At 46.2% G+C, this 18,348-nt stretch overlaps 1 protein-coding gene and 1 long non-coding RNA gene across 5 annotated transcripts in view, besides 2 other annotated features; one reads left to right on the top strand and one right to left on the bottom strand.

Moving 5' to 3' along the window:
* The window catches only part of LOC105369309 (uncharacterized), a 189,617-nt gene that overhangs the window by 132,458 nt on the left and 38,811 nt on the right, over positions 1 to 18,348 (bottom strand). For all 4 annotated transcript variants that reach the window (XR_007062670.1, XR_007062671.1, XR_950120.3 and 1 more), the window contains one exon: positions 14,454 to 14,684. This is a non-coding gene — a long non-coding RNA (uncharacterized LOC105369309). The remainder of the gene's footprint in view (positions 1 to 14,453; positions 14,685 to 18,348) is intronic.
* Positions 7,486 to 17,250, top strand: LRRC55 (leucine rich repeat containing 55). The gene is made up of 2 exons (NM_001005210.4): positions 7,486 to 8,216; positions 12,778 to 17,250. Exons 1-2 carry the CDS (start codon positions 7,556 to 7,558, stop codon positions 13,011 to 13,013), a joined length of 897 nt encoding a protein of 298 aa, NP_001005210.2. The 5' UTR covers positions 7,486 to 7,555; the 3' UTR covers positions 13,014 to 17,250.
* Positions 7,888 to 8,182: a silencer, noted in NCBI's record as "tiled region #9255; K562 Repressive non-DNase unmatched - State 21:Repr". NCBI's record gives its function as "represses a minimal TATA promoter and a strong SV40 promoter by Sharpr-MPRA in K562 cells {active_cell/tissue: K562}" and the evidence as "EXISTENCE:reporter gene assay evidence [ECO:0000049][PMID:27701403]".
* Positions 12,322 to 12,486: a silencer, noted in NCBI's record as "fragment chr11:56954263-56954427 (GRCh37/hg19 assembly coordinates)". NCBI's record gives its function as "represses an EF-1alpha promoter that drives an FKBP-Casp9 reporter gene in an ReSE screen in HepG2 liver carcinoma cells {active_cell/tissue: HepG2}" and the evidence as "EXISTENCE:reporter gene assay evidence [ECO:0000049][PMID:32094911]".

Raw genomic sequence — 18,348 nt, forward strand, 5'->3', positions numbered from 1 at the left:
TTAGTGGCTTAAAACAATGCCCATTGATTAGCTCATACCTCTGGGGATCAGAAGTCCTGGTACAGCATAGCTGGGTTTGATACTCGGGGAATCACAAGGCTGTAATCAAGGTACTGGCTGGCCTGCTGCATTCTCACCTGGAGCTTGGGCTTAATCATCTTCCGAACGTGTTCAAGTTGTTGGCAGAATTCAGCTCCTTGTGGGTGTAGAATTGAGGTTCCCATTTTCTTGCTGACTGTTGGCAGTGATCAATCATAGCAACTGGAGTCCACTCTCAAGTTCTTCCCACATGTTCCCCTCTATTCTCAGAGCTAGCAATGGAGAATATCCCTGGAGTCAAATACCCTTTCAGGAAGGGCGGGGAACTTTTAATGGCTCACCTGATTAGGTAAGGCCCACCTAGATAGCCTGCCTTTCGATTAACGTGAACTAACCTAATCATAGGCGTTTTATCCCATTGTATTCACAGATTCAACCAGGAAGTGGTCAGCTTGAGGGCTATACTGGTTTCCTATTGCCGCTATAGCAAATCACCACAAACATAGTGGCTTACAGCCACACCCACTGATTAACTCATTTCTCTGGAGGCCAGAAGCCTAAAATGGGTCACCAGGGATGAATTCCTTCTGGAGGCTCTAGGATAGAATCTGTTTCTTCGTTTTATCTAGCTTCTAGAGGCTGCCTGCCTTCCTTGACTAATGGTTCCTTCCTCCATCTCCAAAGCTAGCAGTGTAACACCTTCAACCTCTTCTTCCATCCTTACCTCTCCTTCTCTGACTCTCCTACCTCCCTCTTTCCTTTCTAAGGATCCCTGTGATTACATTGGACCCACCTGCACAATCTAGGATAATCTTCCCATCTCATGTCCCTTAAGACGACATTTTCCTGGGTTTTGAGGATTAGAAAATGGATATTTTGGGGGCCCACTATTCTATCTACCACAAGGGCCATCTTAGAATCTTACCTACCACAATGTTATACTTTCTGTATCTGTATTGGAGTAATTTGTGTATTATAGCAATTTATAAGAACTGTATTTGTAGCAATTCTTAATATATTTTCCATGTATTGGGTCAAATGATTTTCATGTAAAATTTATATTTCCATTGACTGTCTTTCTTTTCTCTCTGATTTTGTTTTATCATTTTTTGCTCAGCAAAACCCCATTATCTTTTAAGTCATATGTTTGAAAAATGACATTGTCCATTTCCTGCACACACAGAAAGATATCTTCTCTCCACAGCTAAGATAAATGTGCTATTCTGTTCTCTTCCTGACTTGTATTTTTTTATTGCTTGTTTTTCCTTTGGACCATTTGAATTTTTTTCAGAGCAAAAAAATGAAGTATGGAGCTAATGTCTCAAGACCATTTCTTGCTTTGAGGTTGATTCCAACATTTTTGTACTTTCCCATTTTTCATACTCTGTATTGTGATAGTGAGAACCACTTCCAGAAACTATAGTCTCGTCTATGGTCATTTTTCAAAGAACAAATGTTTTTTAACTTTTAAGTTCAGGGATACAGTGCAAGTTTGTTACTTAGGTAAACTTGTGTCATGGGAGTTTGTTGTACAGATTATTTTATTACCCAGGTATTAAGTCTAGTACCCATTAGTTATTTTTCCTGATCCTCTCCCTCCTTCCCACCTCCACTCTCCTATAGACTCCAGTGTGTGCTGTTCCCCTCTATATGTCCATGTGTTCTCATCACTTAGCTCCCACTTATAAGTGGGAACATGCAGTATTTGGTTTTCTGTTCCTGCATTGGTTTGCTAAGCATAATGGCCTCCAGCTCCATCCATGTCCCTGCAAAGGACATAATCTTACTCTTTTTTTTGTGACTTCATAGTATTCCATAGTAAATATGTACCATATTTTCTTTATCCAGTCTATCATTGATGGGCATTTAGGTTGATTTTATGTCTTTGCTATTGTGAATAGAATGCACAAATATTTAGTAAGGTCATCAAGTGGTTTTTAGTTTGCAAAATTTTTTTTAATCTTTTAGTTAAATGAGTCCATCATCTTTACTTTGAAGCATTTCCTGTCATCATCATCATCACCATCATCTTATTAACATGATCTGTGCATTCTTGCCAGTTTTTCTCCCAAATGGTTTTCATTACCAGTTCACCAGATTCTGATTCAGACACTTTAAGCTACGATACTGAAGAAAGCAGAATCATCTTTGTTATTTTTATACTTTCCCAGCAACTAGAGAGATTACCTTTTTCCATTTCTTCCTCCATCTTCATTCTATTAAGGTTTCATTATTTTCCTTGAATGAATTTCTTATGTGGTAGATTAAATTAATTCTCATGTATTTAAAGATTTCCTGCCATTGTTACAGCTAATTTAGCACGTATTCAGGAAATCATAGTAATGAAAATTATTTTTCAACTCATTTCATTTGTGCAACTCTTTGATTGATTTCTGTGTATTTTCCCAGTAGAGTAAATCCTTGACAATCATGGATTGAACAATCACAGTTTCAATAACTTGCAAGAGACCCCAAAAGGCCGTGACACATAATCATTTATCATTTTGCTGGGGTTCAAAATAGAATCACTCCTACTGCAAGAATGCTGTGCAGGAAAAAGTCATTTTGTGAAGGGAAACAGCCAACCACCCAGTATGGGTGTCTCAACATGAATTCATTTAATGAATTCATTGAATTTTATTATCTACATATCTAGTAACTCTCATAAAGTGATACACATTTCTTTGTGTAAAAAAAAATAAAATGACCTCTATGGAAGCCACCTGCTATTACTAAAGATACTTAAGCAAGAGATAGTCTATAATAAATTTCAGCTCCATATTTCCCAAACCATGCTCACAAAAAACTATTCCCAATATTAACAGTTCTGACAAAAAGAAGGAAGAGGAGGTAAAAGGTGAGAATAGGAGAGGAAGGGGAGAGAGAAAGGCAGTAGAGGAGGGAGAGCAGAAGATAAAAGAAAATTACAGATCCCAAAAAAGTTTAGGAAATGCTGGATATTATATATTCCTCATTCCCCAATGCCGTCACTTGTGGACTGGCCCTAACCATTTACGCATTAACTTGTGGACTGGCCCTAACCATTTACACATTAAAGCCTCTGAGAAATCTTACAGTAAATAAACTCATTTCATTTTGTTTAACTCAGTGTTTCTCAAACTTATTTAAGAACCTCATGGCACACAGTGTACCTTGGGACGCCAATTTGGGATTCATAGAAACCCATAATGATTTGTAAAATGATTAAAGGTGGTATAAAGTCACGTAAAATATTTCTGTCTCATTGAACCTCACTTCTACAGAAGATATATGCAATGACAATGTTCTTGAATTAGGGGTTTCTGAAGGTTTTGCAACTCATTTGCACAGGAATACATTCAAATCATCTGCAAATGTAATATTTTCCTTTCTTAACTTCTTACTTTTTGAGCAATTTATTTGTTTTTCTTTCTCCATAACTGTTTTAGAGATTTTATATTCTGCTGTTTGTTTATTTTACTTTGTTTTATTTGTTCATTTGACAAAGCCATCTGTACAGTGTTCTAAGTGCTTTATTTATAATGGCTCATATATCTAGCAACCCTGTGACTTAGGCGTCATTATCCCTACTTCAAAGGTCAGAAAACTGAGTTTCAAACGGTGATGAGGCATCTTACCTAGATCCTATTTTTTAAGGAACACAGTAACTAATGTTTTCCTTTAGTTATATTATTAATTCTAATTTTAAATATAAACTTCGTATCATGTAAAGAAAGAAAATCTTCATGAGTTACCTTTAGTCAACACTAAATATTGAACTATGCTGGATAGCTTTTTTAGCCTCCATTCAGATAATTATGTTTTCTACCATTTTTCCATAGGATGCTAGCTTTACTTTCCGGAGGCCAACAGTCCTCAGTTAGAATAGATTACTTGTTTCATTGTGTTGCGTTTTCTGGGTTAAGATTAATATTTTACTTCTAAACTCATAAGTGAGATTAAACAAACATTCCTTTTTTTAAGCAGGGAGTGAAATCTCATTTACCTCAGTCAACTCAATATACAAATATTTATGGAGTGGCTGCCATGTTACTCTGTGCCAGAGACTGTAGAACATGAAAGATTCAAAATGAGCATCTGAGAGAACACAGAAGGGAACTGACTTTCTACAAGCATATAGCAAAAAGAATCATGTTAGAGAAGACAACAACCATGATTTTAAGAACTTTATAAATGCCCAGAATCTGTATAACTTCACACTTGTTATTTTCTATTACTCCATTTTGGATCCCCCAAAGACCTAAGCTCTTACTTAAATGCGAGAGGCCCCAGGTCAACCAAATGAAGCAGCTCCATGAGGGAGGAGTCTATGTCCATCTTGTCGCCCACCATCTGGCCAAGTACCCAGCATACAGTGAATGCTCAATAAATATTTATTAAGCAAAGAAATAAGTCAGCTCTTTGAGCAAACCAACCGGTCAAGACAATTTTTAAAATGCAGGACAGCTAGAGACTTGTTTAATGGGTGAGCAAGAAAACAGGTATTGCACAAATTTCATCCTCATCTGAAGTCACTCCAAGGAAGCTTGGAAGCATGGGAACAAGACAACAGACAGAATCCCTTAGGCCTGGAGAAAGAAGAAAGGATCACAAGCTTCCTTTCCCCTTAACAGACCCAAGTGTCTGTAGAGCCCCAGGTGCCCCCACCTGGCCAAGTAGTTGGCCTTTTGGACCCCAAAAGTTCTCATATCCCAAGCCAAGGGGAAATTGGTCTACTCCAGCCAAGCCTCCTAGCCCCAGAAAGCCCATGGGGTCAGGACTTAGGGACAATCAGGGAACATATAAAAGGTCTTTCCTGCAATAATGGTCCCTAACAAGCCCTGAGCCAATCACCTGGTAGCTGGAGCCCAAAATACCTTCCAACCCAGGTAAGTAGATATTATATGGTGACTACAAAGATATATCCCATCAAGTGAGCAAACTTATCATATTCACATCCCTTTTTTGTTTCCATTCCTATTCATGTTTTCAATGTCCCCATTCTTCACTCGCCCCATCCCCCACTAAGTCCCTTTCTCCATTCATTGCAAGCCCTCTTAGTTTTTTCTTCTGGATCTGATGCCCTTAAGCCATCCCTCCTCTGTCTCCGATTCCAGGTCCACACCTTGCCCCTACTACGACCTCTCCCACTGGGCCCTGCCTGATCCTCTTTCTCTGCCCCTGTCCAGTTGCCCACCCTTGTCTCCCCCTCTTCTCCTCGCTCTATCCCCAGGATCCTGTGGGCGGCTGTGAATTTTGCCCTGTGCTTCCTTCTCTCCTCTCTCTTTGTGGTGGGGTCCACAGCCAGTTCTCCTGTTGCTCAAAAATGTGGAGGCAGTTGCTAAGAGACAGCGAAACGTCAGTACCTGGCCCTCGAGGAAAAAAAAGGGGAGTGAAAAAGGGAGAGAACTGGGGGAGGGATGGAGGGAGGGAGAGAGAGAGGGTGGGAAGGGGGGAGGGAGGGGGAAGACCTGGCTCTGGCGGAAGCCTTATACCCCAGCAGCCTGGGCACCAGCTGAGTTTCAGAAAGAAGCATTCAGATTCTGTGAACTTTCTTCCGAGCATCCTGTCTCTGTGATTTCCCTTTGGGTGAAAGAAGGGGCAGGGGGACCGCAGGACGGGAAATCATAGAAGATGCTGGCCTGGGATCCGGGAGACAAGGAGGAGGAGAGGCCGGGGGAGGGGAACAGCCTGGGAGGCAATCTGTTCTGAAGCAAGCAAGGAGCAAGCGGGGATTCCAGGAGGAGGGAGGGAGACCCGCGTCTGCCGCAGATTGATGGCTGTGTCCTTGGAACGGAGTGAGTAGGCTCCTGGGGCCTGTGGGAGTGCGAGGGGGAGACCTGGGGCTTAGAAAAATGAGTCTGCATGAAGGGGAGCTGGGGTGATTTCCAGGTGGGCGGGATTGAGGCTTGAAGCGGTAGGAAAATAGGCAGCGCCAGGCCGAGGGTGAGGGGAGGACCGAGGACAGCAGGTGGGCAAGGGAGAAGCGAGAGGGCGCGGGGCGCGAGGGCTGAGGCTCTGGGCGTGGCATCACTCTCGGTCCCTCTGCTGGGGGCGGCGAGGAGAGTGCAGTGTGTGGAAAGGGATGCTGGGATGAAGGGTGTGCGCTGAGAGGGGGGCGAAAGATGCTGGGGGTCGACTGGGGAGGGGTCTGCAGAATCGCCTGTGCAGAAGGAAGCTGGAGCGAAAACCGCGAGGCGTGAGCACGGGGCAGGGCAAAATACGGGGGAGTCACAGAATGGTGTGTGAGTGAGTGTGTGTGTGTGCGTGTGAGAGAGAGAGGAGTGCTTAGAGTGTTTGAAAGGGGTGTGCAAACCCCCAGAGTGTGGATGCAGATTTTTCTTAGGGAGTTGTTCAAGGGTGGCGTGTTTGGTACTAATGAGGGTGGGGTTATGAGAAGAAGAAGAAAATGCATCTAACCCAAGACAGGAACCCAGAGGAGGATGGCTGCAGGTTGGGTCAGGGAGGGCTCGTGGGTAACAGCAATGTGAGCCTGGGGTCTGAACCTACCATGGCCCACACCTGACAGACAGTAAGCAGAGAACTTTGTGGTTGGGGGAGCAAAGGAAAGAGACAAAGATAAGCCAAGCGTCCTAGGTGAAGGGACAAGGGAGTGTCAAGGGCACAGGATTTCTCTGCCTGAGTGCTTTCCTTGTTGACAGAGGGAATTTGGCCTCCACCTGCTGAACACAGAACTGCGCTGAGGAAGGCACTGGCTTGGAGAAGATGCCAGAGCTCTGCCAGCTGACACTCAGCCTGCACCTTCAGGACTCATGACTTCTTCTGGCCCCAGAGGCCCAGACAGTGGGCATCACCTGGGGTCCTCCTCTCTTTGGGAAAAAAAGAGGCTTCCTGGGGATTCCAGCAGCCACTGAGGCTGAGGACTCTCAGGCTTTTAGGAGGCCCATGGAGACTCACTTCCTCCCGGGCCCTTTTCCCAAAACACCCACCCTGGGACCCCCTTGGACTCCAGCCCACCAGGCCACCAGGACAAATGGCCTCTGAGACCTTCAACACTGAAGACCCAGGTGCAGCCCCGGCTTCCTAATCAGTCCCAGACGTGGGACAGGACTTAAGTTTTCTCAGAAGAAGTGCCAAGGATCTTTAAAGGGCACGTTTCATCTCCTTCAGCCCCTCCCTCCCAGACACAGCACCAAGAGGAAACATCCAGCAGGCATGGGTGAGAGAGACACAAAAGATCTGCAGGAACTCTTCCAGGACTTGCTGGCAGCTGACCTAGCCCCATTCTTGTCCCCTCCCTTTCTCAGGTTTTGATCATCATTCCAGACCCTAGGGGACCTCAACTGGGTGTCTTGCCCCCTAGGCTCCGGAAGGGGACCTCCCGTGGATCTCAGGAAGCCCTCTGGTGCTCAGAGGCTCCTGGGAAAGTCCCTAGCCATGATACCACATGCTCAGAAGCCCCACCTTCACAGACGCTGGCCCCAGATGTAGCTGCCTTCCTGTGTCACAGACTCTCGATTCCATGGACACAGTCCTCATGGGCTCCCTCCAGCACTGCTGTTGCCTGCTGCCTAAGATGGGTGACACTTGGGCCCAGCTTCCCTGGCCCGGGCCACCCCACCCAGCAATGCTGCTGATCTCCCTCCTCTTGGCAGCCGGGTTGATGCACTCGGATGCCGGCACCAGCTGCCCCGTCCTTTGCACATGCCGTAACCAGGTGGTGGATTGTAGCAGCCAGCGGCTATTCTCCGTGCCCCCAGACCTGCCAATGGACACCCGAAACCTCAGCCTGGCCCACAACCGCATCACAGCAGTGCCGCCTGGCTACCTCACATGCTACATGGAGCTCCAGGTGCTGGATTTGCACAACAACTCCTTAATGGAGCTGCCCCGGGGCCTCTTCCTCCATGCCAAGCGCTTGGCACACTTGGACCTGAGCTACAACAATTTCAGCCATGTGCCAGCCGACATGTTCCAGGAGGCCCATGGGCTAGTCCACATCGACCTGAGCCACAACCCCTGGCTGCGGAGGGTGCATCCCCAGGCCTTTCAGGGCCTCATGCAGCTCCGAGACCTGGACCTCAGTTATGGGGGCCTGGCCTTCCTCAGCCTGGAGGCTCTTGAGGGCCTACCGGGGCTGGTGACCCTGCAGATCGGTGGCAATCCCTGGGTGTGTGGCTGCACCATGGAACCCCTGCTGAAGTGGCTGCGAAACCGGATCCAGCGCTGTACAGCAGGTAATAGAGGGGCAGAACGGGGCAGTCAACAGGGAGGGCTTGCCTCAATGGGAAGCAAAGGCTCCAAAGAAAGCGGGGGAACTTAGAGCCAGAAAGCACCTACTGCATTTTCTAATGTGGGCTTGCCTCTTTGTACACCAGCTCGGCCAACAGGTTGTTTGTAGAATCCTTCCAGTGCATGTGAGGCACCGAGGGCCCATTCATTCATTAAATAGATGTCCCTCACCACTGCGCTGCTCATGACCTAATGAGGCAGACGGATAGTAGACAAGTGAGAATAGCCTATGGTTGGTGGTTTTTATTGAGCTTTCACCATGACCTAAGATCTTGGCATCCATTATCTCATGAGACCCCCATTTTTATTATACCCATTTTCCAGGTGAAGAAACTGAGATTTAGAACAATAAAAAGGCTTGACAGGAATCACACACTTAGAAAGTGGCAGGGCCATGAAAAAAATACAAATTAAAAAATTAAAAAGTGGCAGGACCATGAATAAAACCTAGATTTATCTGACTTCTAAGCCCTGTTCTAATCTACCAGAATGCTTTTTTAGCATTCCAAGTGTTGGAAACTCTCGTATAAATAGTAATGACTAACACAATCTCAACAGAGCTGCAATAGCTTAAGTTGCGTGACAGCCAATATGTTCCAGGAGGAACTTGAGACCTTAGTACTTGCTATTTACCAGGCCCTCTCTTAAGCAGCTTTACCTATCTCTTCCTATCCCCAGAAGAACACTAATGAGATTGCCACTCTACAGAGGAGGAAGCTGAGGCACAGAGAGGTTCAGTAGCTTGTTGGAAGTTACACAGCTGCTAAGTGTTGAAGCCAGGATTTGAGTCCTGGCAATCTCCCTGACTATATCCTGAAGAGTCAGGTTCTGGCCTGCCGGAAGAGTCAGAACCTGAGTCCTGGACTGGCCAAAGGGCTGCAGTAGAGTTCCAGGACCTCATGCAGCTCCAAGACCTGGATCTCAGCTACGAGAACCTGGCTTTCCTCAAACTCAAGGCCCTGAGCAGTGTAAACTTTGGGCACAGGGTAGGGAGCTGAAAGGAAGACTGAGATGCGGCAACTCAACCAGCCAATCCCAACTGGAGGGTGGACTGGGGCCTGAAGAAGCCCAAATCACATAGGTTTGATGGGCATCCCAACCCAGTGGCATCTGAGCCTGACCCAGAGGCAGGCAATGTTCAGCTGTGGCCCTAGCCACCAGCTCTCCTGTGTGACAACACCAAGACTTGGCACAAGAACCCAGAAGTAGTAGCTGAAGGCCCTATCCAAGGGGCTTTCCCAGAACCTGAGCTCAGCCCATGTTGAGAAGAAGCAATGCTGAATGTGGTAAAAGGGAGAGGAGGACTGAGTGGGGAGCCCAAGACCAAAATAGTTTGGGGAGGGCTGTGGGTCACGATTCCAGTGTTTCCACAGAGCTGTAGGAGGAAATTCTCTTGCATCAAAATAGCTGGGGACTGGGATGGGGCGATGGTGGAGGGCAGGAGTGGGAGGATGCCTGGAGCAATCTCTCAACTTGCTCAAACTTGGCAGGCGCGCCTTCCCTCTCTCTCCTGTGCACTAATAACAGAAAGGGCACCCAAAGCACTAAGCTTACATTACACCCAGGGACTCCTTTTCTGTGATCTCTGAGGTCCCTGCTGCTCTGAAGAAGCTCAGACTCCCAGCGAGCAGGAGAGGGGTCCAAGATTTCATCAGTGTAGGCTCACACATACATCAGTACAGGTGAGGAACCTGAGCTCCAGAAGGGGACAGTGACTGTCCACAGGCCCATGATGAGGAAGCAAGCAGTCCCAGCTGGAAAGCCAGGTTCCCTGTTCCTCCACAGAACACACTTAACACCAGGCCACACGCACCAGGGTGCTTCTCCTTAGGGACAAAACCTTGCCAGTGGAGGCAGAACTAGGTGATGCTCTTCCCTTTAGGTCCTTTTCAGCTGCTTCCTCCCTTTTTCTTTGCGGAACTCCACTGTTATCCATGGTTTTTGGAAAAATTGAACAAAGAGGGCCATAATAAGCAAGCCCCTGGGATACAGCATGACTTTAGGACTGGTGCCTTGACTTACCAGGGGGTTTTGTCAGCCTCCACGTTCCCACCCTGCATCCTGTGTGGTCCCACCAAGGGCTGTCAGGGGCTCCTCTGGCTGGTCCATATGAGGGTTGCCACATTCCCCATCTCACTGTCTCACCAGTACCCACTTCATCTACCTAATAGACTTTAGAGTTCAGCATCTTCAGGTTTCCAGAGGAGAGCTCACGCGAGTCAAGCCCAGAGAGGATCCTGGCCTGGGCAGGACGGGGGTCCTGTGCTCACAGCCTACAGGAATTGCTCAACCTGGGATTTGGGGAAGGTTGGGTTCTCCTTCCAAACCTGACTCCCCATTTCCAAGGATATTGATGCTGATTCAATTCTTGAAAGGTTCAATCCAAATCCATCATTTGATTCCTTGCCCTCAAAAACTGCAGAATGAATACATAGCATTTATGCATTTATACAACACATAATTTAGAAAATGTCTTCATACTGACTCTCAGAAAATTTAGATTGGATTATCCCCTTCTTTTCTTTTCTTTTCTTTTTTTTTTTTTTTTTTTTTTTTTTTTGAGACAGAGTCTCGCTCTGTCACCCAGGCTGAAGTGCAGTGGTGCAATCTCAGCTCACTGCAACCTCCACCTCCCAGGTTCAAGCAATTCTCCTGCCTCAGCCTCCCGAGTAGCTGAGACTACAGGTGCGCACCACCACACCCAGCTAATTTTTGTATTTTTAGTAGAGATGGGGTTTCACCTTGTTGGCCAGGATGGTCTCAATCTCTTGACCTCATGATCCACCTCCACCCGCCTTGGCTTCCCAAAATGCTGGGATTACAGGCATGAGCCACTGTGTCTGGCTGGGTTATCCCCTTCTTATAGAGGCCCCTTATTATACAGGCAGAGCATGAGAGCCAGAAAGACCAAAAAAAAAGACTTACCCAAGGTAAGAGCTTGATTAATATTTATCCACTAAACAAAGGAATGATTGGCTGCTCAAAAGCTGGTGCCTAAAGCTGCATGGCAAGAGTGTCACATGCACACTACCTTTACTTCCCAGGCAGAGTGAGATAAGACCGTTGACAGCCATCATGCATTCATAAAAGTGACCCCAGAAGAATGAGATGAGACCATCAATGCTGAAAATAACAATAACCCCACCAGAAAAAGCAGCCCCCTCCTACAGAAGCTTGAGTGCAGAATATGACCCCCAATGGCCTCTCTAGGAAAAACAACCAATATAATAATTCATATAATTGAAATATAATATATGTTATATATTATATATTACATTAATATGTAGCATATAATTCGTGTACGTTAACTCACTGAATCCTCACTACAACCCTGAGAAGTAGATACTGTTATTATCCTCATTTGACAGATGAAGAAGTCAAGACACAGAGAGATTAAATATCTTACCTGTAATCATGCAACTAGCAAGGGGTGAAGAGGGGATTTGAAACTAGGCCAATAGCTCTGGAACCCATACTCTTAACTCTATACCCTGTGTATCTGGAAATGCAACATAAGTAGTGGAAAGGCCCAGTGATTTGGAGTTGGACAGACTCTTATATTCATGTTGTAAAGATTCGTCAAGCACTTACTATGGACAAGACACTGTTCTCATGCTAAAGATACCATGGGAGGGGCTTATATTGAAAGGGGAGAAGACAGAAAATAAACCAATAAACTTTCAGGCAGTGATCAACACTACATAGAAAAACACAGCAGAGCAGGGAAGATAGGGAGCCCAGGGGGAGGTGAAGTGGGGTGCTATTTTATTCAGAGTCTTAAGGAAAGGCCTCACTAATAATGTGGCATTGAGCCAAGTCCCAAAGGAAGTGGGGAGCTGAGCTGTGCAGAGATCGAGGGAAGAAGTTCCCTCCCAAAGGGACAAATGCAAAAGCATCCCTTCCCCGCTTCAAGAGGGGACACTCTGAGATCATGGAAGGATGACCAGGAGGTGTGTGTGGCTAGAGCAGGGTAAGTAAGGAACAGAGTGGAAGAGATGGGAAAGAATCCCTGGAGCCCAAGGGGAGCACCTTGGTTTTTGCTCCATTCAAAGACAGGAATCCAGGGAAGGGTTTAAGTAGAGAAGGTGTGGCAGGACATCAGGTTTGAAAGAACCACTCAGCTGACTGTATTAAAATCGTTTGTCAGCTGCTGGTGAGGTCCCAGCCTGCAGGCTGAGGACAGACACCTTCTGAAGCCCAGAAACCAGTTGGGAGGTTATTGTAAGAGATGATGGTGTCCCCAGATCTACCACTGGTCACAGCCAGATGACTTTCAGCAAATTGCTAAACTCTTTAAACAGTACTTTCCACATCTATAGAAATAGGCATAAAAATCCTTGTCTTGAGAGTTGTTGAGGGAACTAAAGGAGTTAAGTAGAATTCTTGGCACATGGAAGAACTTCAATGAATGTCTTTCTTACTTTTTCCAGCAAGCGGTTGTGGGTGGACTTTCCAATCCCCTCTCCTTCCCTGGGTACCTCACCCTCCCTGGCTTCTGTGTTACAGATTCTCAGCTGGCTGAGTGCCGGGGCCCTCCTGAAGTCGAGGGCGCCCCGCTCTTCTCACTCACTGAGGAGAGCTTCAAGGCCTGCCACCTGACCCTGACCCTGGATGATTACCTATTCATTGCGTTCGTGGGCTTCGTGGTCTCCATTGCTTCTGTGGCCACCAACTTCCTCCTGGGCATCACTGCCAACTGCTGCCACCGCTGGAGCAAGGCCAGTGAAGAGGAAGAGATCTGACATGCCTGCCTCTCATCCCTCCATGCTGCTGACCGCCACAGCTGCTGGCCACCAGACGCCCTCCCTGACTGCTCACTCTGGTTCCATGGTGACCTGGCTGCCTCAGTCATGGTTCAAGCAAGGTGGGGACACTCATTTTGTATGAGCATCTGCTTTGGGCCAGGCGGCACGCTAGGAATTGGGAACATCAGATGAACTGACTCAGTCCCTGCCCTCAAGGCACTTCCCTCTGGTCAAGGAGAGAGATCCAAAAACTATTCCCTTTAAGACTATATGTCAGGACTCTGAGCACGTCATTATGGAGGCCCAGAGGAGGAGCCATCATCTGTATCTAGCAATGTCCATGAGAATTATAAGATTAGAGTGATTTGTGAACTGGGTCATCAGGAAATATCTACTTTGTCAGGTAGGCAAAGAAGGGTGTCTGCACATGGCAGAGGCCAGAATATGCATAGTGTGCTGTGTTGAGAAGAGTGAACAGTTCCTGGTCACTTACTTGTATAGAGGGGGTGTGGCACAGAACTCAAACCTACCCCTCACCTCCTGACACCAAAACTGTCAGCTCTCAGCAATGCCAGCCACTGCCTACAGGGAGTAAGAACACCTCTATGACAGCCCCTGGCCTCCTTCCACCAGCAGCTACCAGGTGAGACCACCTCCCAGTGACTGCCCCCATATGACCAAATGTCACCAGTTGGTGAGGTCCCAGGCAGCAGGCTGAGGATGGACACTTTCAATGCCCTTGCTCCTGCCTCTCACTCAAGTTTTGCTTCAGAAGAGAGAGGCAGGAGGCCCAGCAACTGGGGCAGCAAGAGTCCTGGCACCTTGGGATCCTAATCATGTGACTGTTCTTGCCACAGTGCTCATGCCACAGGGTCTCACCAGGAAAGTGCACTGTGGGCCACAGACCCACAGCCTGGCAGCACCCAGAGCTAAAAGGGGACAAAGGCAGCACAGTTATGACCATATGAGGCTTTGCATTTTCTTCTAAGCAACTTACCCACGTTAAGCATGAGGGTGAGAGAGCTATTAAATACTAAGCCCTTGCCAGTGTCAGGTACTTTGAAAAGCTCTCTGCACAAACCATTCCCTTTGACACACACACACACAAATCTTTTGAGGTGAACGCTGTTGTTCCCATTTTACGGATGAGGCAACTAAGGCTCAGAGAGGTTAAAGTCACATGCCACTATGAGCAAGATAAAGTCTGTGCTCTTTCTACTGCCCCATCCAAGTTGGGGAACATCACCATTCCCTCTAGAGTTATATAAATTCAAATTCAACTAGAGCTGACAAAGTTCCTCATAAGGTCCAGGCACTCCTCTGGGCACTTTTATATCTATTGACTCACTTCTTTCAATTCTCACAGCAACACTGCCTGGTGGTTTTTATTATCCCCATTTGACAGATGAATTAATCGTAGAGAGTTGAGTGACTTACCCAAGGTTGTCTGGATAAGCCCTAGAAGGAAGGCGGTAGGCAGCTCCATTCAGGGAAACTGCATCTAATCAGTCAGTCAAAAATCAAGTAACTTTACGAGCAAAGCACAATTATCATCATCGTGGTCTTCTTCATCAGTTTCGTCAGCAGCATCATTATCTTCCCTCTATTTGTTCAGCACCGGATAGTTCATGAGTATTTTTGCATCATTCTCCTTGACTTTTCACATCCCTGTGCAGGAGGTAAATCAAACATCAGTAATCCTGTTTTACAGATGGGGAAAAAAGTCTCAAGGTTGGATATGACTTGCTATGTGGCAAGGTTGGGGCTCAACCCTAACACAGTTCTCTTTCCAGTGCTTTCTCAAGTGCTTGGGGAAGAGAATGCCTCAGAAGGCTGGGTAGTGGGGCCCTGGAATTCAGCATCCATGAATGTGCTAGTGGATAAGCTAAATAGAAGGCAGCCAAACCCATCTGCTGTACAGATTGAACTATGCTCACGGTAGGGCAAATTGCAGGCTCTGAAACAGAGACTACACAGGTAACACCTGAATAGGAGACTCCTGCTTTACAATGTGTAGATAAAACATCAGCAATGGTGGCCATGGTGGCAGTCATGTGAAAAGTAAGATCTTTGGGAATCAAGAAAGGAAGCTGTGTTAACCACTCCTGCTCAAGCCCTGCTGCGTGTGTTGCAAGAGATACTAAGAGAGCAAGAAAGCTATAGGTGAGAACCTCTGCAGTTTAGGAGAAGAACATCAAGGCACAGTCCAACATGCTGATAAGTCTGGCCAGGAGGAGAATTAAAACAGGGGCTTTCCACACCTCCCTTGCCCCAAGCTCCAGCGGTATTCTATCAGCCCATCCTCCTGGAAAGCCTGAAAGGAATGAAGGAGGCTAATAAGTCATCTTCCAGGAAGGCATCCCTCACTCGTGCTTCCCTGAGCTAGTCAACCAAAAGAGTCTTCAGAAACTTTGCTAGACCTGAAGTACTTGAACCTGTGTCCCCTGAATCTTTCTTACAACATCTGGGACAAATCCCTGGCCCTGTGACATCCGAAGCAGAACTGTGCCCTGCTCTCTCCTTCTGTGATGACCAAGGATGGTGAACTCAAGTTGTTCTCTACAAGCCAGGCCAGCAACCTAAATACTTGGAGAGGAACTTTTAGAAACTATAATCCTGACAAAATAGAAAAGTTTCCCATAGGGGCATACCATAATACTATAATAACCTCCCAGGAACTATTGTTTGCCAAAATGTAGTTAATATATTTTAAGATATATGCTTTTTTGCATAGGACTAGAACCAGAAAAGACACCAAATGCCCCCTTGACATCAATGTCCTTTCTAGTGGGACAATTTGGTCTCCATTAATGCCAAGCCTTTCTGAACAGGATACATGGCTTTTAAAGGACAGATGTTTCTCCTGCTGCTAGAAGTTCCTCAGTTTACTAGAGCACAATGAGGAAAGTATTCAACCTCCCTACTGCCAAGGAATTCCCTGCTTCTCCCCCACCGCCATCATCTTGTCCAAGCTATCAGAAGCAACCTTCTAGAGATAATCTAACAATCCTGATTAGAATTGCTCCCATATCCCTGGTGACCACAGGCTTCATTCAAATTGTCCAAACTGGTTAACATGTATGTGATGGGGTATCTCTGCATCTGTATGTCTGTCTGCGAGGTTCCTTGTATATTGGCTGTCCGCTGACTTGGGACAGATCTCTCTAGAACTTGGGTTCAGTTCTCTGACATAGTCCACTCAGCCATAGGCTGAGTGGCTAAATATGCATAAATAAGCATGCCTAAATAGGCATATATAGGTTGGTGCAAAAGTAATTGCGGTTTTTGCCATTAAAAATGATAGCAAAAATCCCAATTACTTTTGCGTCAATCTAATATTACATTGCTTGATAGATTAAGATGGAATCCCACCAGGTTTAGGGTAGGACTGGATGCTCAAAAAATAAAGAAGGAGAAAAATCTGTGGCAGAGGCATCCTAATGAGAACCTGACTTCTCCTTGCTTCCCTCTGCTCTCTCCTGCGCCTCAGAGACTTGTCCCCATTGCAGAAGCTTCCTCCATGCTAGGCCAGAGGATATCAAAGTTTAGTTTGGTCAAGATTTGGGCCAAGAAAATTCCTTTTTAGAAGAGCCCTCATATCTGAATCACATCACTTTGGGCCAGTTATCTCTGGTCACCCTCAGACAAACCCTCGTCTCTTTTTCTCCCTTCCTAGAGGAATTCCCAGGGAACTTTGCAGAAATAGGTCTCCAGAGTTGCTACAGAGGTTCATGGCTCCTTTCGAGGAGGGACATGTATGAAATTTGAACAGATCAAGACAGGTGTTTGTCTTCAACCATGGGGGAAGACCTCCAGCTTCCATTTTCCCCTATACGTGTCTGTGCTGACATCCTTTCCAGCAGTAGAAGACTAAAAAGATATATCTTAACCCATTCCTCAAAAGGACATCTTCCTAAAGCCAGAGAAAATTGTCTGCGCTTCCCCACCCCAGGAAGAGGCAAAAGGGAAGTGAGGGCGTCACAAGGTCTTTTGTAAATCACTATTGTGTTTGTCACAGCACTGGGCGGAGAGCTGGATCCACAGAGCTCTCAGTTTTTCTAAGCACTGTCCTGTAATGTGCTAATGTCTGGGGGTGGGAGGGCTGGGGAGGGGTGGGGTTAGAGGGAAGATGCCAACCTTTGTATGGAGATGATTTTATAACCATGCACTTTTGTAACTGTGCAGAATTTTTCATAAATGTACATTAATAATAAAGAGTGTATAGTTTAACAAATTTTCCTAAGAGCTGTGAAGAGGGATAGGGAGAGGGAGGGAGGTAGAGAAAGAAAGAGAGAAAGGAACTAGGCGGAACCAAGAGAATGTGTGCCAAAATATACGCACAAAAGGTCTATGGGAGGGAGTGGATGGAAATAATTAGGAGATGTGCCAGCCATGGAGGGGCATGTGTGGGAGTTGAAGGAACATCACAGAAGTATATTTCTACCAGGCAAAAAAAGAATACGCGTGTGTCTGTATGCACATACCCCTCTGTGTAGGCATATTTTGGTGCCTGAAATTACACAAAGAAGAGAGCATATGTCTTACACATGTTGATGTTTGCAACTTGGGTCGTCCATAAAACATACCAAGGCAAGTGGGTGTGCCTGCCTAGTTAGCATCACTGAAGGGTGTGTGATAAGGAGATAGCACACACCAGCAGCATGGGCAGAAAGACATTAACTCAGGCATGCAGGTAAATCAGGCATCTAAATGCATGGTGTTGGGGCTGGATGAGGCCATTGCTGGTATAAGTTCAGCCTCTGTTCTCATAGGTTAATAAAGAAGGGAAAGGATTCTAAACCTCCTGGGTTTTGCAAGTGTTGCCTGTACATCATCAGAAGTGAGATGCCTAGGCAGTGTACCTTGAGAATAGGGACAGGAAAAGAAGGAAAGTGTACTTCTGTAGGTACAATGGCAGCTGTTTTTATCTTAGTATTCTAAGTAGGAAGTGGCTGTAAGGAAGTCAATCCAAGCAGGAAGTGGCTCTGAGCAGAAAGTAGTTCCTTCCACCAATAGGGATGTTAACCTCCCTCTATTCCTCCCACTCCAATTGCCACAGGGTACAAACAAATACCGCACTCATAGCCTCTAAATGGAACACAGATACTGACTCAGAACACTTAGCTAAACAGAGAACATCTTCAACTGTAATCAGTGTTTTCTAGAGTAGATTAGAGGGAGGCAAAACCCTTCTCTTCAAATTAAGTATTTAATAGAGACTATGCTGAACAAGTGCAAGATCAAAAATAAGGCTCCTGAAATAAGCAGACATCTCATGAAAGACCAGATCTTGCATATCCCATTCAATGCTGTTCATAGTGCCAAGGACTGA

Source organism: Homo sapiens, chromosome 11 (assembly GCF_000001405.40).
Source record: "Homo sapiens chromosome 11, GRCh38.p14 Primary Assembly".
Classification (NCBI taxonomy): Eukaryota; Metazoa; Chordata; class Mammalia; order Primates; family Hominidae; genus Homo; species Homo sapiens.